The 22,416-nt window shown below is 37.5% G+C and overlaps 1 protein-coding gene across 15 annotated transcripts in view; it reads left to right on the forward strand.

The window, feature by feature from the left end:
* The window catches only part of SWT1 (SWT1 RNA endoribonuclease homolog), a 134,722-nt gene that overhangs the window by 26,318 nt on the left and 85,988 nt on the right, over positions 1-22,416 (forward strand). For all 15 annotated transcript variants that reach the window (XM_005245271.3, NM_001105518.2, XM_047423246.1 and 12 more), the window contains 5 exons: positions 866-967; positions 1,366-1,554; positions 7,172-7,265; positions 19,277-19,422; positions 21,323-21,486. In XM_005245271.3, coding sequence (XP_005245328.1) covers positions 866-967; positions 1,366-1,554; positions 7,172-7,265; positions 19,277-19,422; positions 21,323-21,486 — 695 coding nt within the window. The remainder of the gene's footprint in view (positions 1-865; positions 968-1,365; positions 1,555-7,171; positions 7,266-19,276; positions 19,423-21,322; positions 21,487-22,416) is intronic.

The raw sequence follows: 22,416 nt of genomic DNA on the forward strand, positions 1-22,416 counted from the left end.
CCTCCCAGGTTCAAGCAATTCTCCTGCCTCAGCCTCCTGAGTAGCTGGGACTACAGGCGTGTGCCACCATGCCTGGCTAATTTTTAGTAGAGCTGGAGTTCCACTGTGTTGGCCAGGCTGATCTCGAACTCCTGACCTCAGGTGATTGGCCCGCCTCGGCCTCTCAAAGTGCTGGGATTACAGGCGTGAGCCACCAAGCCCAGCATGTATTTTCTTTTACACATATTCATCTTTCAATTATATTCACTCAGGATATGTTAAAATTAGCTTATAATTACTAAGTGCACAACTACCGGTGATCCATGACAGAAGTTAGAAACATAATTACTCCCCAGGCAAGTCAGTTCATAATTTAAAATCCACCTACAAGCAATTTATAGTATTCTACTGGTGGGTGATTAAACATTGATTACTATTCTTTCTCTTAAGAATCGAAGTAAAAGCAATTTTGTTTTTATTGTCTAAAGGACTTCTCTTAAGAATGCTCTCAAAAACATTCTCCATGGCTGGTTTTTCACAGTCTTGGCCCCAGGTTTCCCGTGTATTTCTGCTTTGCCAACCCTTACCTTCTCTGCCCACTTTGACTTAGACGATTCTCCACCCCACTCCCACTCCAAACAGGGGTTGCAATTCCTATCCAGAGGACCTTAATTGATTGGGGAGAAATTTACTTGGCAACAAGGATACGGGCCGGATAGATATCAGCTTGAGAGTCTAGCCAACTGTGTAAATCTCTGATACAGTTAACAAGACAAAGAGGCGTTTTAAATTTAATTGAATTTTCAATGCTTCTGTAATATCAAAATTTTAGTCATTATATAAGTCTGTTATCAAGTGTCATGAAATATTTGCTCTTTTTCTTTAGCAAATAATACTTCAGACAGAAAGCTTCTAATTGTTATTGACACAAATATTCTGATGAATCATCTCAAATTTGTTAGAATTTTGAAGACAACAGAAGTACCAGGTATTTACAGAACATATTTAAAGATTCTGATTTTCTTCCTTGAGTTGATATTTTATATTAACAATGATGGGCTTTTTTTGCCATGAACATGTCTCCATTTAGATATGCTATATATTAAGCATATTCAGTGTTATAAGTTTATAAAAGCCTTTACAGGTTAAACTAGCAATCTGAACTCACTCTTTTTTTGATCTCCAAGAGTAATTATTTTTTTAACATTCTTTTGACACGTTATTTTCTTTTTAATTTCCATTTTATAATATATTGTCTCTCAATTTATTGTGAATTTCCTAAAGGTAGGGACTGTGTGCTTTAAAACTTTTACCTCTTGGACAGCAATTCCATTTAGTAGCTCAATAAATGTTTGTTAAATTCTAAGAAATCTTTTTATTTTTTAGGTTTTGACAAACTTGTGTTAATAATTCCCTGGGTCGTTATGCAAGAGCTAGATCGTATGAAGGAAGGAAAACTACTAAAACGTGCCCAGCACAAAGCTATACCTGCAGTTCATTTCATCAACGACAGTCTCAAAAATCAAGATAGAAAGCTATGGGGTCAGTCAATACAACTTGCATCCCAAAAACATTGTAAGTATTGTTCTCTCAGAGTGCCTCCTGATTAATACTTGTTTGGGTGCAGACTCATTATTGGAGGGAAATGGTGCAAAACTTTTAAAACATTTAAACCCATTGGAATGTGAAATGGAAGGGGCATTGTGATGGTTTGTGGCTTAGTTTAGGAGTCTTTGACTTTTATTTTTCTGCTTCTCCTAGACGTTTTTACATTATGTCTATATTTCACAGATAGTGACTGTATAGTTGTGTATGCATAATTATCTATATCCCAGAACCTTGGACTCCTTTTTTAAAAATACCATTGCTGAGTGATGAAGTCTGTAAGTGATCTAGGTTTCTAGTCTGTTAATATCACCATATGCAGTTAATGTACTGTGGAGACGATGTTGCTTTCCTGTGGTTTGTCAGAATCGGTAATAATGAATGAGGTGTTTTTACAATAAAGTAGTGTATAGATTTTCCCCTCATTTAATTTTTTTCAATATTAGTTTCTATTAAGGCATTTAAAAAATTGCTTTAGTCTTAGAAGCTAAGGATGTTCTTTATGTTTTATATAATTTGCTGGAAAAATATCTATATATAAAGGAACACTTATTTCTGTGGAGTTTATACATATATATTTAGAAGATTTATTTCATTCTTTCAGAATTTGTTTCTTCCCAGCTCAGAATTATTTATATATGTAAGCTTACATTATTTTAAATACCACGGATTTGTACTGTCCACTGCACCCATATTCACCGTAAGATTTGAAAGAATTCATCTTAAGAGGAATCCAATTATGGTATTAACTATGAGAAGGCTTTAAAAGCCATGATTAGATTCATCTTAAGATGAATTACTTTAGTCTAAAATTTTTGTTTAGTCTTAAAATTTTGAAGAAAAAGGGTCTCTACCATTCATTCATTGTCTAAACAAATATTTATTAGTTCTTAGTATATTCCAGATATAATGCTTATGAATTTTGAGTGAAGATGGTCCATGTCAAGTAGCTTTAGTTGACTATAATTTTAGCCTTGTCCTTAACTATTTGCAAAATTATATTTATTTGATATAGTATTGATCTATTATAGTGAGAGGAACATAGGATTTGAAATATGATCAACCTGGGTTTATAGCATAACCCGGGGGAAGTTAAAGGTGAAGAAACTGAATAAATGAAATGAGAGGAAATAAATTCCACGTCATAAAATGGTTGTGAAGATTGGTTGAGTTAATATATTAAACTAATAGCTTATGGTTCAGAATAGGCAGTAATTCTCTTGTGTCCTCATTATATGAAAAGCTTATGCAGATTGATAAGACTCATCTATCTTTTTTTTAAATATCTGATTTATTTTTATCACTTCTAAGTTTAGAAAGTTACTCTCTCCCAACCCACTAGGAAGATTCACAGCACTGCATGGCTTTAAGACTATGAATTGGTAACTTTGTAGAAGAGCAGTATTTAGCAATGTGCTTGAATAAGCCTAAGGATAATAATTGTCTTTCTAGAAATGTATCCAAAAAAAGTGAGAGATGCAGGCAGTGATTTATATAAATAGTGTTCATTATAGCATTATTTATGTAACAAAAAAATTAGAATCAACCTGTATAACATTTGGAGAAGTTACATACATTGCTATAGCCACAGGAGGGGACACTATATTTGGAAAAACATTAATGACATATAACGTTAAATAAAAACAAACATAAGATTAAAAAAATATGTGAAGTATAATTCTAAATTTATTTAATTATATACTGATTAATGATGAATAGAGGTGATATTTACCTGATGGGTTTATCAGTTATTTTAATTTTCTTTATATTTTCTGTATTTTCCAGATTTTTAATTACCTTTTTTTTTTTTAAGATGGAGTCTCGCTCCCGTCACGCAGGCTGGAGTGCAGTGGCATGATCTCAGCTCACTGCAACCTCCACCTCCCGGGTTCAAGTGATTCTCCTTCCTCAGCCTCCCAAGTAGCTGGGATTACAGGTGTGCCCCACCATGCCTGGCTAATTTTTGTATTTTTAGTAGAGATAGGGTTTCACCATGTTGGCCAGGCTGGTCTCTCACTCCTGACCTTAGGTGATCCACCCGCCTTGGCCTCCCAAAGTGCTAAGATTACAGGCGTGAGCCACCGCGCCCAGCTTTTTTTTTTTTTTTTTTTAAAAGAGTCTTCGTTTGTCACCCAGGCTGGAGTGCAATGGTGTAATCTTAGCTCACTGCAACCTCCACCTCCTAGCTCCACCTTCAAGAGCTTCTCGTGCCTCAGCCTCCTAGAGTAGCTGGGATTACAGGTGTGAGCCACCATACCCAGCTGATTTTTGTATTTTTAGTAGAGATGGGGTTTTGTCATGTTGGCCAGGCTGGTCTCGAACTCCTGACCTCAGGTGATCCACCTGCCTCAGCCTCCCTCGGCTTACAGGTGTGAGCCACGGTGCCTGGCTAATAAAGTTATATATTTTTTATAATAAGGTAAAAATAATTAAAGGCAATAAATAGTTATCTGCCACTCCCCCAATCAGACATTTGTTCTGTATTTTTATATTTTTCATTGTATTTTTATTGATTCATTTGTTTGCCAAGTATTTGTACCAGACACTGTTCCAAGTGTTGGCCCTGTAACAGTGAATAAGAAAGATAAACCCTACTGTTGAGGAGGTTAAATTCTATTAGATATTAAACATCTTAATAACTATGATTTATATAGAATTTATTTATTCTGTATGTGAGTGAGGTCATTGATGTTGAGGTGCCATTTAAGCTGAATCTTTTTAAATTTTTTTTTATTTTTTTGAGATGGAGTTTTGCTCTTGTTGCCCAGGCTGGAGTGCAATGGCGTGATCTCAGCTCACTGCAATCTCCGCCTCCCGGCCTCAAGTGTGCGATTCTCCTGCCTCAGCCTCCTGAGTAGCTGGGATTACAGGCATGTGCCACCATGCCCGGCTAATTTTTTAAGATATTTTTAGTAGAGATGGGGTTTCACCATGTTGGTCAGGCTGGTCTCGATCTCCTGACCTCAGGTGATCTGCCTGCCTCGGCTTCCCAGAGTGCTGGGATTACAGGTGTGAGCCACCGCGCCTTGCCAAGCTGCATCTTAAGTAATAAATACATGGTACTTTTAAGCATTCACTATTGCCATACACTGGGCTAAATACTTTATATACATTTTCATTTACTCCTCATGATTAAAAACTTCACCCAAGGATACATACCTAGTAAGTGGGAAAACAAGGATACATAACCAGACTGGTCTGTTTCCGGAGTCTTTATTTTGTTCACTTTATTTTGTTCACATGTACAGGTGCTCAAAAGTATTTATTGAATAACTAAAGATTTCATGAATAGTCTTACAGTTGATTTTTCTGCTCCATATATCTTAGAAAAAGTGGTATTACTGATAATCTTGAGTTTGATACTGTTACAGCAGTGCACTGTTACTTTTAAGCCTCCTTTTATCTGCTGAATTGAATTGTTTAAAGTTAACTAATGATTTTGAGTTACACATTTTGCATTATTCATGGCATTTACCCTCTGAATTTAAGGGAAATTGACTACTGTGATATATGTCTGTCTGGCTCACTGGTCATCTGATCAAGAAATTTAATCACATCTTCCTCACACTCATGTCCTGACATAGTTGAGCTCTGTCTAGATTTCACTAATATGAACTCCTAAAGAGTTTGTCTTTGCATATCCATCTGCTTAGCATGGCACAAATTAAACCGTATATAAGTATTTATTGCATGAACGAATGAGTTTTCTAATTTGAAGGATTAGAGGACTAAGTAATATAGGCCAGAAGTTGAGAGAAAAATGATTATAAACTGGGAATAAGGTTGAGATGAATTGGCTGGTATGTCTTAAATTTTAATGTATAAGAGACAGGCCAAGACCTTAAATTATGATCTGGGTCCAGGCTTCAAAGATTCTTACCCAGAAATATATTTGGGGTATGGTCCTGCATTCTGTGTTATTAATAAGTCTAGGGAGTTCTCAGGTAGGTAGTTTATGGACTTGTGGGAAACATTATCTTTGGTCCAATTTCTACACATTGCATTATTATTATTATTTTATTCTTAATTTTTTTAGAGACAAGGTCTCACCCTGTCACCCAGGCTGGAGTGCAGTGGCACGATCATAGCTCACTGTAGGCTTGAACTCCTGAGCTCAAGTGGTCCTCCCTCCTCGGCCTCCTGAGTAGCTGGGACTATATGACTACAGGAGTGTGCCACCGAGCCTGGATAATTTTCTTGTTTTTTTTGTAGAGGCAGAGTCTCGCCATGTTGCCCAGGCTGATCTTGGAATCCTGACTTTAAGCAATCCCGCTGCCTCAGCCTCTCAAAATGTTGGGATCACAGGCACCACCCACCTGGCCTGCATTAATTTTATAAAAACTGAATTTTTGCTACATGTTTTGAGGCGTAGAGAATGCCAGAGGGTACCCTGTCAGCAGCTGATTAACATTTGTTAGGAATTACTTCTTGTGTTACCTTCCTAGGGCCCATATTTCTTTCTCCTGTATACCTCTAATTGCATTGCTTTAGAGATTAAGGAAGAGCACACACAGGAAACTAGTTTAGCTGCGGTAGAACAGTTGCTTATTAGTTCACAGACTTCTTAAGCTGAGAAAATGTTAAGTTACTTATAATCTGTAAGTGACTGAATTGATATTAGGATTCGTGGTTTTTGGTTTCTAGTCTGACATTTTAGCCTTCTGATCACATTTCTTTCCTTTGAGTTTACTAATAGCCATATCCTAGACCATTTTAATAGCGAACTAACCACATTAAATCCACAACTGTATGCTATGTAAATTCTAGATTCAGAGTTTTAAAAAAATTATTTTCTTGTCTTTTTATGTAAAAAGTTTTCTTTCTTTTATATGTACATAAATATATATGAAATACATATATTTCTTATATATGTATATATAAATACATATATACTTTTTTTTTTTTGAGATGGAGTCTCACTCTGTTGCCCAGCCTGGAGTGCAGTGGCGGGATCTCAGCTCACTGCAACCTCTGCCTCCCAGGTTCAACTGATTCTCCTGCCTCAGATTCCCAGTAGCTGGGATTACAGGCACCTGTCACAATGCCTGGCTAATTTTTGTATTTTTAGTAGAGATGGGGTTTTACCATGTTAGCCAGGCCGGTCTCGAACTCCTGACCTCAAGTGATCTGCACACCTCGGCCTCCCAAAGTGCTGGGATTACAGGCGTGAGCCACTGTGCCCAGCTGAGATATATTTTTTAATAGAGTTTTTGAGAGTAGTTTTAGTTTCACGGGAAAATTGCACAAAAGACATCAAGATTTCCCACATACTTCCTGCCCCCACACAAGCATAGCTTCCCCATTATCAGTATCCTTCACTGGAGTGGTACCTTTGTTATAGTTGATGAACCTCCATTTGACATCATTATCACTCTGAGTACATAGTTTACATTAGGTTCACTCTTGGTGTTGTACACTCTGTGGATTTGGACAAATGTATAATGACGTGTGTCCACCATCATAGTATCATACCTTAACTACCTTAAATCTCTTAGATATTTTTGTTTTGTAAATACAGCCTAGATTATTTCTGTGTCACCCACATTTCTAGTGTACTTACTGACTGTTGCCTTTACTAAATTTGCAGATGGATTGAGTGATGAGAACAATGATGATCGAGTACTAAAATGCTGTCTCCAGCACCAGGAATTATTCCCTTGTTCTTTTGTTATTCTGTGCACGTGAGTTTCATAGTCATTTGACTTTTTATTTTTAAAAAATAAACCAAATAATTTAAAAAAATCATATGGTATCCAGCATACCAAGGATCAAAAACATACATAATTTTCCAAATCTGCCAGTAAGCATACCCACTTGTATCTGACAGTCTTATAATGTGTGAGCACTAGAGGAATGAGATCTCAACTAGATGAAGTTTCATTTCAGTTTAATTTTTATACGATTCAGAAAACTTGAAAAAGCAGGGGAAAAGGCAACTTAATATCCCTCCAAAATTGTTTAAAAATCAGAATCTGACAGGATGAGACAAGAAATTTATTTACTTACATATTGGTGAGGTGGAGATAAGGTAGTTTATGTTGGAGTTGTGTGCTGGGTGCCTATTACAGAGTTAGACTGCCTGGCTTGGAGTCCTGATCTATCATTTATCAGCATTGTGACCCTGGACAAGTTGCTTAACTTAGTTTCCTCATGTCAAATAAACAGGAATAATAATATCACCTGCCTCATGAGATTATTGTATTTAATCTGTTAATATATGTAAATGACTTAGAATAGTGCCTAATATATAGTAAGATCTCAGTAAGTTTTCTCCCTCCTTCTCCCTTCCCCCTGCTTCTTCCCTCCCTACTAATATTTCCATAACTTAGTTCAAAGATAAAACTAAGATAATGCTAAACAAAATTTTATTCATCATGTATGAGAAAAGGTTCTGAAGGGACAGAAGAGCAATTTTAATTTGCAGTTTTTTTTTAATCAGTCTACATCATGCTTTGAAACTTGCAGTTTTAATCTGTATTTTATTCACTGCAAAATGGAGTTTTTATAGTTTCATGATCATGCTCAAATTCTTTCTGTGAAATGGAGCTACTATAGAAATCGTTAGCCCTAACATGTTTCTTGGAAACATTCTAGTCAGTGTTATTATTTTAGCTATCTTCAAAGATAATGTGATTCCTTTTGCTATTAAAGGAAATATTGGAGCTTTCTATCTATGAGTTTTAAATTATATTTTGATCTAGGACATATTACTTTGGAGTTTGTTGAAGGCTGAAATAGAATTAATAATATATAAATCATTTTGAATTTGAGATAAATTCGAGAAGTAATTCTTTGTTATGTAATTATTTTTTTAGTTCAGCTTAGAATGAAAATTAAATTGACAAAACTTTATCAATTCTCCATTATTTGTACATTCACTGCTTTTTTTGGGATTAACAGATATACTATTTTTTAGCGACTGAAAATTTATAGCCAAACCTTACTTTTAATTCTGACATAGTCGTGTTCCAAGTGGTGAGCCTGTTTTTCTCTCTCTCTTTTTTTGGTTGGTTTGTATGCATTTTCTTTAAATAGTGATAATCCTGTGTATTGTATAAGTCATACCTACTATTGTGAGGACATATTTATATTACTTAAAATGGATGATGATAATGTCAATTGATAGTGATAGTAATCAGAAAAACTTTTATAACACTTATATACTATGCATCATTCTAAGTGCTTACATTTACAATCATATGTCTGCACCAGCAATACAATTAATATCTCCAATCCATATTGCTTTTCTAAACTCCAGGCTAATATATTCAACTATTTATTTGATATCTCTTGGATGTTTCATAGACATCTGAAACCTATCATCTCCATAAATGAACTCTTGAGTTTTTCTTCTCAACTCTTCTACACCTGAATAAAAAGGGTCACCTCCTACCCATTTGCTAAAGCCAGAAACCAGGGAGTAAATTTTGATACCTGCCTTTTCTTCATGATCTATATACAGTGAATTAGCCAGTCCTGTGTGGTCTTCTTTAATTTTATTTTTTAGAAACAGGGTCTGGCTATGTTGCCCAGGCTGGTCTCAAACTCCTGGGCTCAAGTGATCCTCCTTCCTCAGCCCCTGAGTAGCTGAGGAAATGCACAAATCTAAACTATACAATGTTGACAAATGGGTGCACTGGTGTAGCTCACATCCTGTTAATATAGAGAACACGTCTGTAACGCCTCTCTTTTTTTTTTTTTTTTGAGACAGAGTCTCACTCTGTCACCCAGGCTGGAGTGCAGTGGCGCCATCTCGGCTAACTGCAGTCTCTGCCTCTTGGGTTCAAGCGATTCTCCTGTCTCAGCCTCCCAAGAAGCTGAGATTACAGGTGAGTGCCACCACGCCTGACTAATTTTTGTATTTTTAGTAGAGATGGGGTTTCGCCATATCGGTCAGGCTGGTCTCAAACTCCTGACCTCAGATGATCCGGCCACCTCGGTCTCCCAAAGTGCTGGAATTACAAGTATGAGCCACCGCGCCTGGCCCAGAAAGTACTCTCTTGCCTTTTTGTGCTCTTTCTTTCTTGTTTCTTAAGGTGGAAACTTAGATCACTTATTTGGTACCGCTATAACTGTCCTCTAAGCACTTCTGCAGTTGTATCCCACAAATTTTAATATGTTGTGTTTTCATTTTCGTTCTATTCAATATACTTTATAATTTCCCTTGTGACTCTTTCTCTGACCCATAGGTTATTTAGATGTTTGTTGCCTAATTCTAAGTATTTGTAAAATTTTCAGATACTTGTTTTGTTTTTTTTACTGAATTGTAGTTTAATTTCTTTGTGAATTGAGAACATAATTTACATGATTTCTGTTCTTTTAAATTTGTTAAAGTTTGTTTTGTGGCTAAGAATATGGTCTGTTTTAGTGAATGTTTTCTGTGTATTTGAACAGAATGTGTATTCTGCCCTTATGGGTGGAGTATTCTATAAATTTCAGTTAGGTCAGGTTGGTTGATAGTATTCTTCAGGTCTTCTATAACCTTACTGGCCTACTTTTTCTTTTCTTTTTTTTTTTTTTCCTGAGATGGAGTCTCACTTGGTCGCCCAGGCTGGAGTGAAGTGGTGCAATCTTGGCTCACTGCAGCCTCTGCCTCCCGGATTCAAGCAATTCTCCTGCCTTAGCCTCCCGAGTAGCTGGGACTACAGTTGCAGGCTGCCATGCCTGGATAATTTTTGTATTTTTAGTAGAGACAGGGTTTCACCATGTTGGCCAGGATGATCTTGATCTCCTGACCTCGTGATCCTCCCGCCTTGGCCTCCCAAAGTGCTGGGATTACAGGCATGAGCCACCTTGCCAAGGCTGGTTGCCTACTTTTTCTGTGATCACTGTGAAAGGAGTATTGAAGTCTCCAACTGTAATTGTGGATTTGTCTATTTCTCCTTTCAGTTCTATTTGTTTTGCTTCGTGTATTGTGAAAGCCACTAAAGCTATGGCTTTCTGTTGTGGTAAAGGCATTGATGAATTGGAGAATTCCCTCAGGCAAAAAGATAGAAACTTGTAGTGAGATGCATATACATCTAAGATTGTTTATGCTTGTCTTCTTGGAGAATTGCTTCTTTTATAATTATATAATGTCCTTTTTAGTTCTGACATCATTCCTGGTTCTAAAGTCTTCTTTGTCTAGTATGAATGCAACTATTTCAGCTTTCTTTTGCTTGGTATTTATGTGGTGTATCTTTTTGTATCCTTTTACTTTTAGCCCCTCTACGCCTGTATATTTAAAGTAAGTTTCTTGTAGACATCATATAGTTGGTTCTTTTTTGACCAATCTGACAATTTCTGTCTTTTAACTGTTAAGTTTAGACCATACACATTTAATTTGTTGGATTAAAATCTACCATTTTGCAAATAATTTTCTATTTGTTTTGTTCCATCTGTGCTTTTCTTCCTTTTTCTCTTTTGGATTAATTGTGCATTTTTAATGATACCATTTTGTCCCCATTATTTACTTATTTATACTTTTTTGAAAAAAACTTCTTATGGTTGTTTTAGTGTTTACAATATACATCTTTACTTATTAAAGTCTACCTTCAAATATTATACTGCTTCACAGGTACCATAAGGATATTGCTGTTGTATATATTGTCCCATAGCTCTTGGATACTTTAAAAAAAAAAAAGTCTTTTATTATCTTTTTGTTTCAGTTTGGGTACTTTCTTTTGACTTCCCTTCAAGTTTGTTGATTCTTTCCTTGCCTTTATCAAATCTATTGACAAGCCTGTTCAAGGCATTCTGCATTTTTGTTACTGTGTTTTTTATTGCTAGCATTTCCATTTTATTCTTATGGTTTTCATCTCTGTGAAACTGCTTGATTTTCCTTTCACCTTTTCCATTAGAACCTTTAACATATTAATAAAAATTACTTTAAATTTGCTGTCAGATAGCTTCAGTATCTGTGTTGTATTCAAGTCTACTTCTGTTGATTACTTTGACTCTTGGCAGTATGTTGTTTTTCTCTGGGCATACTTTATATGCAGATTTTGGGGCTCACTTGCTCTGTGGTTTCTTTTCTTCAGTTTCTCCTTTAACTTTCTTTTTATTATTATTATTATACTTTCAGTTCTGGGATACATATGCAGAACGTGCAGGTTTGTTACATAGGTATACACGTGCCATGGTGATTTGCTGCACCCATCAACCTGTCATCTGCATTAAGTATTTCTCCTAATGCTATCCTTCCCCTATCCCTCAACCACCCGACAGGCCCCGGTATGTGGTGTTCCCCTCCCTGTGTCCATGTGTTCTCATTGTTCAACTCCCACTTAAGAGTGAGGACATGCAGTGTGTGGTTTTCTGTTCCTGTGTTAGTTTGCTGGGGATGATGGCTTCCAGTGTCATCCATGTCCCTGCAAAGGACATGAACTCATCTTTTTTTATGGCTGCATAGTATTCCATGGTGTATATGTGCCACATTTTCTTAATCCAGTCTATCACTGATGGACATTTGGGTTGGTTCCAAGTCTTTGCTATTGTGAATAGTGCCGCAATAAACATATGTGTGCATGTGTCTTTATAGTAGCATGACTTATAATCCTTTGGGTATGTACCCAGTAATGGGATTGCTGGGTCAAATGGTATTTCTGGTTCTAGATGCATGAGGAATCGCCACACTGTCTTCCACAGTGGTGAACTAATTTACACTCCCACCAACAGTGTGAAAGTGTTCCTATTTCTCCACATTCTCTCCAGCATCTGTTGTTTCTTGACTTTTTAATGATTGCCATTCTAACTGGCATGAGATGGTATCTCATTGTGGTTTTGATTTGCATTTCTCTAATGACCAGTAATGATGAGCCTTTTTCCATATGTTTGTTGACACATAAATGTCTTCTTTTAAGAAGTGTCTGTTCATATCATTTGCCCACTTTTTGATGGAGTTGTTTTTTTCTTGTAAATTTGTTTAAGGTCTTTGTCGATTCTGGATATTAGCCCTTTGTCAAATGATAGGTTGCAAAAAATTTCTCACATTCTGTAGGTTGCTTGTTAACCCTGATGATAGTTTCTTTTGCTGTGCAGAAGCTCTTTAGTTTAATTAGATCCCATTTGTCAGTTTTGGCTTTTGTTGCCATTGCTTTTGGTGTTTTAGTCATGAAGTCTTTGCCCATGCCTATGTCCTGAATGGTATTGCCTAGGTTTTCTTCTAGGGTTTTTATGGTTTTAGGTCTTACGTTTAAGTTTTTAATCCATCTTGAGTTAATTTTTGTGTAAGGTGTAAGGAAGGGTTCCAGTTTCAGTCTTCTGCATATGGCTAGCCAGTTTTCCCAACACCATTTATTATATAGGGAATCCTTTCCCCATTGCTTGTTTTTGTCAGGTTTGTCAAAGATCACATGGTTGTAGATGTTATTTCTGAGGCCTCTGTTCTGTTCCATTGGTCTATATCTCTGTTTTGGTACCAGTACCATACTGTTTTTGTTACTGTGGCCTTGTAGTAGAGTTTGAAGTCAGGTAATGTGATGCCTCCAGCTTTGTTCTCTTTGCTTAGGATTGTCTTGGCTATACGGGCTCTTTCTTCTTTCCATATGAAATTTAAAGTAGTTTTTCTAATTCTGTGAAGAAAGCCAATGGTAGCTTGATCAGGATAGCATTGAATCAATAAATTACTTTGGGCATTGTGGCCATTTTCACAATACTGATTCTTCCTATCCATGGGCATGGAATGTTTTTCCATTTGTTTGTGTCCTCTCTTATTTCCTTGAGCAGTGGTTTGTAGTTCTTCTTAAAGAGGTCCTTCGCATCCCTTGTAAGTTGTATTCCTAGATATTTTATTGTCTTTGTAGCAATTGTGAATGGGAGTTCACTCATGATTTGGTTTGCTGTTTGTCATTTATTGGTGTATAGGAATGCTTGTGATTTTTGCACATTGATTTTGTATCCTGAGACTTTAGAAAATATTTATATATTTAGAAAATATGCAATCATGTCATCTGCAAATAGAGACAATTTGACTTCTTCTCTTCGTATTTGAGTACCCTTTATTTCTTTCTGTTTTCTGATTGCCCTGGCCAGAACTTCCCGTACTATGTTGAATAGGAGTGGAGAGAGAGGGCATCCTTGTTTTGTGCCGGTTTTCAAAGGCAAAGCTTCCAGCTTTTGCCCATTCAGTGTGGTATTGGCTGTGGGTTTGTCATAAATAGCTCTTAATATTTTGAGATACATTCCATCTCAAACTCGTTCCACCGAGTTTATTGAGAGTTTTTAGCATGAAGGGGTGTTGAATTTTACTGAAGGCCTTTTCTCCATCTATTGAGATAATCATGTGGTTTTTGTCATTGGTTCTGTTTATGTGATGGATTACATTGATTGATTTGCATATGTTGAAGCAGCCTTGCATCCCAGGGATGAAGCTGACTTGATCATGGTGGATAAGCTTTTTGATGTGCTGCTGGATTCGGTTTGTTAGTATTTTATTGAGGATTTTTGCATTGATATTCATCAGGGATATTTGTCTGAAATTTTCTTTTTTGTTGCATCTCTGCCAGGTTTTGGTATCAGGATGATGCTGGCCTCATGCGTTAGGGAGGAGTCCCTCTTTTTCTATTGTTTGTAATAGTTTCAGAAGGAATGGTGCCAGCTTCTCTTTGTTCCTCTAGTAGAATTTGGCTGTGAATCCGTCTGGTCCTGGACTTTTTTGGTTGGTAGGCTATTAATTGCTGCCTCAATTTCAGAACTTGTTGTTGGTCTATTCAGGGATTCAGCTTCTTCCTGATTTAGACTTGGTAGGGTGTATGTGTCCAGGAATTTCTCCATTTTTTCTAGATTTTCTAGTTTATTTGCATAAAGGTGTTTATAGTATTCTCTGATGGTAGTTTGTATTTCTGTGGGATGGGTGGTGATATCCCCTTTATCATTTTTTTATTGTCTCTCTTTTCTTCTTTATTAGTCTGGCTAGCAGTCTGTTTTGTTGATCTTTCAAAAAACCAGCTCCTGGATTCATTGAGTTTTTGAAGGGTTTTTTGTGTCTCTATCTCCTTCAGTTCTGCTGTGATCTTAGTTATTTCTTTTCTTCTGCTAGCTTTTGAATTTGTTTGCTCTTGTTTCTCTACGTCTTTTAATTGTGATGTTAGGGTGTCAATTTTAGATCTTTCCTGCTTTCTCTTGTGTGCTTTTAGTGCTATAAATTTCCCTCTAAACACTGCTTTAGCTGTGTCCCAGAGATTCTGTAACATTGTGTCTTTGTTCTGACTGGTTTCAAAGAGCTTATTTATTTCTGCCTTCATTTCGTTATTTACTCGGTAGTCATTCAGGAGCAGGTTGTTCAGTTTCCATGACGTTGTGTGGTTTTGAGTGAGTTTCTTAATCCTGAGTTCTAATTTGATTACACTGTGGTCTGAGAGACTTGTTTATTATGATTTACATTCTTTTGCATTTGCTGAGGAGTGTTTTACTTCAAATTATGTGGTCAGTTTTAGAATAAGTGCAATGTGCTGAGAAGAATGTATATTCTGTTGATTTGGGGTGGAGAGTTCTGTCTCTTAGGTCCACCTGGTCCAGAGCTGAGTTCAAGTCCTGGATATCCTTGTTACTTTTCTGTCTTGTTGATCTGTCTAATATTGACAGTGGGGTGTTAAAGTCTCCCACTATTATTGTGTTGGGAGTCTAAGTCTCTTTGTAGGTCTCTAAGAACTTGCTTTATGAATCTGCTGCTCCTGTATTGGGTGCATATATATTTAGGAAATTTAGCTCTTCTTGTTGCATTGATTCTTTACCGTTAAGTAGTGCCTTTCTTTGTCTCTTTTGATCTCTGTTTAAAGTCTGTTTTATCAGAGACTAGGATTGCAACCCCTGTTTTTTTTTGTTTTTTTTTTTTGCTTTCCATTTGCTTTGTAAATATTCCTCCATCCCTTTATTTTGAGCCTATGTGTGTCTTTTCACATGAGATGGGGCTCCTGAATACAGCACACTGATGGGTCTTAACTCTTTATCCAATTTGCTAGTCTGTGTCTTTTAATTGGGGCATTTAGCTCGTTTACATTTTTTTTTTTTTTTTTTGAGACGAGTCTCGCTCTGTCATCCAGCCTGGAGTACAGTGGTGAGATCTCAGCTCACTGCAGCCTCCACATCCTGGGTTCATGCGATTCTCCTGCCTCAGCCTCCTGAGTAGCTGGGATTACAGGCACACACCACCATGCCTGGCTAATTTTTGTATTTTTAGTAGAGACGGTATTTCACCATCTTGGTCAGGCTGGTCTGGAACTCCTGGCCTCGTGATCCACCCACCTTGGCCTCCCAAAGTGCTGGGATTACAGGCATGAGCCACCACGCCTGGCCTAGCCCATTTACATTTAAGGTTAATATTGTTATGTGTGAATTTGATTCTGTCATTATGATGCTAGCTGGTTATTTTGCCCATTAGTTGATGCAGTTTCTTCATAGTGTCGATGGTCTTTACAATTTGGTATGTTTTTGCAGTGGCTGGTACTGGTTGTTCCTTTCCATATTTAGTGCTTCCTTCAGGACCCCTTGTAAGGGAGGCCTGGTGGTGACAGAATCTCACAGCATTTGCTTGTCTGTAAAGGATTTTATTTCTCCTTCCCTTATGAAGCTTAGTTTGGCTGTATATGAAAGTCTGGTTTGAAAATTCTTTAAGATTGTTGAATATTGGCCCCCACTCTCTTCTGGCTTGTAGGGTTTCTGCTGAGAGATCTGCTGTTAGTCTGCTGGGCTTCCCTTTGTGGGTAACCCGACTTTTCTCTCCGACTGCCCTTAACATTTTTTCCTCCATTTCAACCTTGGTGAATGTGACAATTATGTGTCTTGGGGTTGCTCTTCTTGAGGAGTATCTTTGTGGTGTTCTCTGTATTTTCTGAATTTGAATGTTGGCCTGTCCTGCTAGGTTGGGGAAGTTCTCCTGGATAATATCCTGAAGAGTGTTTTCCAACTTGGTTCCATTCTCCCTGTCATTTTCAAGTACACCAATCAAATGTAGGTTTGGTCTTTTCACATAGTTCCATATTTCCTGGAGGCTTTGTTTGTTCCTTTTTATTCTTTTTTCTCTAATCTTGTCTTAAGGCTTCATTTCATTAAGTTGATCTTCAGTTTGTGATATCCTTTCTTCCGCTTGATCGGTTTGGCTGTTAATACTTGTGTATGCTTTACGAAGTTCTCGTGCTGTTTTTTTCAGCTCCATTAGGTCATTTATCTTTTTCTCCGAATTGGTTATTATAGTTAGCAATTCCTCTAACCTGTTTTTTCAAGGTTCTTAGCTTCCGTGCATTGAGTTAGAACATGCTCCTTTAGCTCAGAGGAGTTTGCTATTACTCACCTTCTGAAGCCTACTTCTGTCAGTTCATCAACTCATTCTGTGTCTAGTTTTTTTCTCTTGTTGGTGAGGAGTTGTGATCCTTTGGAGGAGAAAAGGCATTGTGGTTTTGGAATTTTCAGCCTTTTTGAGCTGGTTTTTCCTCATCTTCATGGATTTATCTACCTTTGTTCTTTGATGTTGGTGACCTTCAGATAGGGTTTCTGTGTGGACGCCATTTTTGTTGATGTTGATGCTACTCCTTTCTGTTTGTTGGTTTTCCTTCTAACAGTCAGACCCCTCTGCTGCAGGTCTGCTGGAGTTTGCTGGAGTTCCACTCCAGACCTTGTTTGCCTGGGTATCACCAGCAGAGGCTGCAGAACAGCAAAGATTGCTGCCTGTTCCTTCCTCTGGAAGCTTTGTCCCAGAGGGGCACCCGCCAGATGCCAGCCGGAGCTCTTCTGTATGAGGTGTCTGTCAACCCCTGTTGGGAGGTGTCTCTTAGTTAGGGGGCACGAGGTTCAAGGACCCACTTGAGGAGGCAGTCTGTCTCTTAGCAGAGCTCGAGCGCTGTGCTGGGAGATCCACTGCTCTCTTCAGAGCCGGCAGGCAGGAACGTTTAAGTCTGCTGAAACTGTGCCCACAGCCGCAGCTTCCCCCAGGTGCTCTGTCCCAGGGAGATAGGAGTTTTATCTACAAGCTCCTGAGTGGGGCTGCTACCTTTCTTTCAGAGGTGCCCTGCCCAGAGAGGAGGAATCTAGAGAGGTAATTTGGCTACAGTGGCTTTGGGGCGCTGCGGTGGGCTTTGCCGAGTCTAAACTTCCTGGGGGCTTTGTTTACACTGTGAGGGTAAAACTGCCTACTCAAGCTTCAGTAATGGCGGATGCCCCTCCCCCCACCAAATTCCAGCATCCTAGGTTGACTTCAGACTGCTGTGCTGGCAGCAAGAATTTCAAGCCAGTGGATCTTAGCTTGCTAGGCTTCGTGAGGCTGAGATCCACGGAGCTAGACCACTTGGCTCTGTGGCTTCAGTGCCCACTTCCAGGGGAGTGAATGGTTCTGTCTCGCTGGTGTTCAGGCGCCACTGGGATATGAAAAAAACCTCCTGCAGCTAGCTCAGTGTCTGCCTAAATGGCCGCCCAGTTTTGTGCTTGAAACCCAGGGCCCTAGTGATGTAGGCACCCGAGGGAATCTCCTGGTCTGCGGGTTGTGAAGACCATGGGAAAAGTATAGTGTCTGGGCCGGAGTGCACCGTTCCTCAGGGCACAGTCCCTCACAGCTTCCCTTGGCTAGGGGAGGGAGTTCCCTGACCTCTTGCACTTCCTGGGTGGGTGGATGCCCCACTCTGCTTCAGCTTGCCCTCTGAGGGCTGCACCCTTTGTCTAACCAGTCCCAATGAGATGAGTCGGGTACCTCAGTTGGAAATGCAGAAATCACCTGCTTTCTGCATTGATCTAGCTGGGAGCTGCAGACTGGAGCTGTTCCTATTCTGCCATCTTGCCAGCTGCCAACCTAGAGCACTCTCTCCCTTAACTTTCCAGCTGCCCTGGTCAACCTTGAACATGGTTCTTTGACATTTCAAGCCACTAATACTTGTCACACTTGATGAATTGGGAAATGCCCTCAGGTAAAAAGAGACTTGTAGTTCTCGCTATGCATTTTCTGTGTCTTCAGGGTAGACTCCCACTCCAGCTTCTGCCTACATTCTGTTGCTTTCTAGTGCCTTCAAATAGTTAATATATTTTTTTTTTGGTTTAGATTTTATAATTCTCATTCGTAGTAGGGTTAGTGTGACCAAACTACTATGCCATTAACAGAAGCTGGAAGCCTACTGGCCTCCAGAACAATTTAATAAACACAGATACGATCATGTCATTTTCCCACTGAAGCCCTTAAGTTTCCTGTTTTTTAATGCCCTTGTCGTTCTCTATAACCTCATAAACTGGTCTCATGCACTATGTTCTAATCATATTGGCTTCTTTCAGCAAACAGCAAGTTTGTGCTATTTGTCTTATGCTTAATCTGAGTAAATTTGTACTTGTCTGCCTACTGTGAATTATTTCTCATACATAGCTCTCTGTTTATTTCTCTTTGGATAATCACATTCCTGTATTCAAATCCAGCTCCCACTTACTGGGTGTAACTTTGGACAAGTTACTTAACTTTACACCTCAATTCCCCATCTGTGAAATGGGGGTAAAGTTAATACTACTCCTACCTCAGAAGTTTGTTGTGAGGATTAAATAGATTTATATATATATATATAAAGCACTTTAGAATGGTGCCTAGTACCCAAAGCTCATATTTTTTTAAAAAAGTTGTTATTCTTTCTTAAGGTATAGGCTGAGAATCACCTGCCTCTGACTAGATCTCATGTGTTTTGATTTGCCATGTGGTTTACCTTATAAAAAATATTTTTTCCTCCTAATCCCAACCTCCCAACCTTAGGGATGATAGAAACTTAAGAAACAAAGGCCTAATAAGTGGTGTGAAGTCACTCAGTAAAGAAGAATTGAGTGCAGAGTTATTACACTTATCTCTGAACACAGATGTGTGTCATCAGCCTTGTATTCCTAAGCAACAGTTGAAAGCAGGTAGTATTTTTACTATAAATAATTAGAGATATATCTTATTTTATACACTAAGATTATTTATAACATTAGAATCGATAGTAAATTTTTATTTTGTACATTTAAAATAACATCGTTTGGAATACTTGCTGGCATGTAAGTCATTGAATAAATGGAAGTTATGATGGTAATCCAAAAGAAAACATAATTAACATTATTACCTTCTATATGTACTTTTACAAATTAATTTGATGTTTTTGTCTGCACGCTTACATACATTTTTACATTATAATCACTGTGTACATGCTAATTTGTACCTTGCAGAGTGTACCTGTATTTTTCACCTTCATTTTCTTCAAGTGAAACAGAGTATTCCTTTTAAATTAATAGCAGTTATAGGAGATATTTAGTTGACATAGAGATAATTTTTTAGTTTCTTTTTTAAGTTGGCTTTCTATTTATAACCTATTAATATGATAAAAACTCAGCTAGCAATAGAGAAACTTGTTGGAATCTAGTAATAGTTTTCTTTTTAAAAATTTTAAACTAATAATCAAGAAGTAACAGGCCGGGTGCACTGGCTTACGCCTGTAATCCCAGCACTTTGGGAGGCCGAGGCGGGTGGATCACCTGAGGAGTTCGAGACCAGCCTGGCCAACATGGGGAACCCCTGTCTGTACTAAAAATACGAAAAAATTCGCCGGGCGTGGTGGCGGGCGCCTGTAATCCCAGCTACTCGGGAGGCTGAGGCAGGAGAATTGCTTGAACCCAAGAGGTGGAGGTTGCAGTGAGCCGAGATTGTGCCATCGTACTCCAGCCTGGGCAACAAGAGCAAAACTCCGTCTCAGAAAAAAAAAAAAAAAGTAAGGACAATACTATTATTTCATTTTTTTTCACCAGAATAATCTGTTCTGTAGCTTGATATTTGAAGAAATATTTTATTAAACCTGACATTATTTATAAGTACATCCCACCTTTCCCCTCTTTGGGGAAAATGATTATTGAAGTCTCTAATATATGTGCATTTTATATATAATTGTGAAAATAGTCATATATACATATATACTACTTATTTACCCTTTTTGGAAATAACGTTTTTGTCATAATATTCAAAATGGCCTTTGAAGGAATAACAGGATATTCTAGTTTACAGTTTTTCAAGGGTAGTGTGCCTTTAGCTTGTCCACTTTGTAGAGATAAGCCACTTAATATTTTTAATTTTGCCATAAGAAAATTACAGTTGTTTTCAAGTATCTAAAAAGTAATGTTAATGAAGTGATATCACTTAAAATAATAAAAGCTCCTTTTAAAGGAGGAGGGCATGAAGATAGTTAAGCTGGAAATTTATTGATGTGGGCTGAGTTTAGAAAAATATTCCGTTTTTGCCAGCTACTCGGGGTGCTGAGGCAGGAGAATCTCTTGAACTCAGGAGGCAGAGGTTTCAGTGAGCCAAGATCGCGCCACTGCATCCAGCCTGGGCAACAGAGCGAGACTCCGTCTCAAAAGAAAAAAAAAAAGAAAAATATTCCATTTTTGGAAAAAAACCCATTTTGATCCATAGTTCTTGGTTTTTTGTTGTGAATAAATCCAAGGCATTCTTGTAACTCTCTTTGGAAAATAATAAAATTAAATTGTAGTTGAAATATCGCATACATTTCTTACATTTTTATTTGAGTAAAAATATTATTTAATTGCCTGTTAAAAAGATAAAACATTTGTTAAAGTAATATATTTATGTTGCATCTAAAGCAACTATAATAGAGATACATGTTTCTAAATTGTTTTGAAAATAAAATATTTGTTTGTTTTATATATAATTAAAATATATACATAAAATGTTTACTGTTTATGGCAATATACTAATTATATGTATAATAATTACTGTTAGCATTCTAAATAAAGTCTGTAACTATTTGTTTTAAAGAAACAACACCCTTGAAAGAGAGCTATAAGGAGGAATCTACAAATTCTGGACTGTCCATTCTGCTTGAGAGCATTGTATCTGATCTTGAAAAATCTCTTGGAACAGGTTTATCTTCAATATTAGAAACAGAAATGAAAATTGCTTTTGGAAACCTTTGGATGGAGGTGATTAGTTGAACTCTATTAGTTGAAAATTTCTTTTTTATTGCTGAAGATTTGTTATCTTAAGAAATATTACTTGTATAAAATGCATACGCTTCATTGAATAATCTGTATCATGTTACATTTTTCTTCAAGTTTTTGAAATAGTTTTTTGACAGTTAAATGATGGACATTTCTTAATGGTTAGGAATATATGTTATTCTTTTTTTTGAGCAAACAGATATTTATTTTGCATCTGCTGTGTGTCAGATGCACTGTCCCATGGTGCTTAAATTGAATGAAAAAAAACTTGTCTATTTAATTTGAGTCAAAATGTCTAATATAAGGAATCTCTCTAGCAATATGTATTCAGAAAAAGAAGTATGTATTTTTGCTTGTGCCATGTAAATGTAAGAATCAGAGTATAAGTTGATTGTATTAGTAAGATATTTTGAAATTTCTTTGGATTCACACCTTTTTGACAATCAGTAAAACTCTAATAATAATGGTTTCAAAAGTTCAGTGTTTTTTGTTTTGTTTTGTTTTGAGACGGTGTCTCGCTCTTGTTGTCCAGGCTTGAGTGCAATGGCATGATCTTGGCTCACTGCAACCTCCGCCTCCCAGATTCAAGTGATTCTCCTGCCTCAGCCCCCCAAGCAGCTGGGATTACAGGCATGTGACATCACGCCCAGCTAATTTTTGTATTTTTATTAGAGACGAGGTTTCACCATGTTGGTCAGGATGGTCTTGAACTCCTGACCTCAAGTGATCCTTCTGTCTCAGCCTCCCATAGTGCTGGGATTACAGGCGTGAGCATTTATAGCTAGGAGAAACATGATTTTGCATCAATCATAGCTTGTATCTATTCCAGCTGTTCTGTGAGATTCTAATATTTGCCAGAACGGTGCATTTGCTACTTGATTATATTGACAAAGTTGAACCAAAATGATGACG

The sequence above is a fragment of the Homo sapiens genome, chromosome 1, assembly GCF_000001405.40.
Source record: "Homo sapiens chromosome 1, GRCh38.p14 Primary Assembly".
In the NCBI taxonomy this organism is placed as follows: Eukaryota; Metazoa; Chordata; class Mammalia; order Primates; family Hominidae; genus Homo; species Homo sapiens.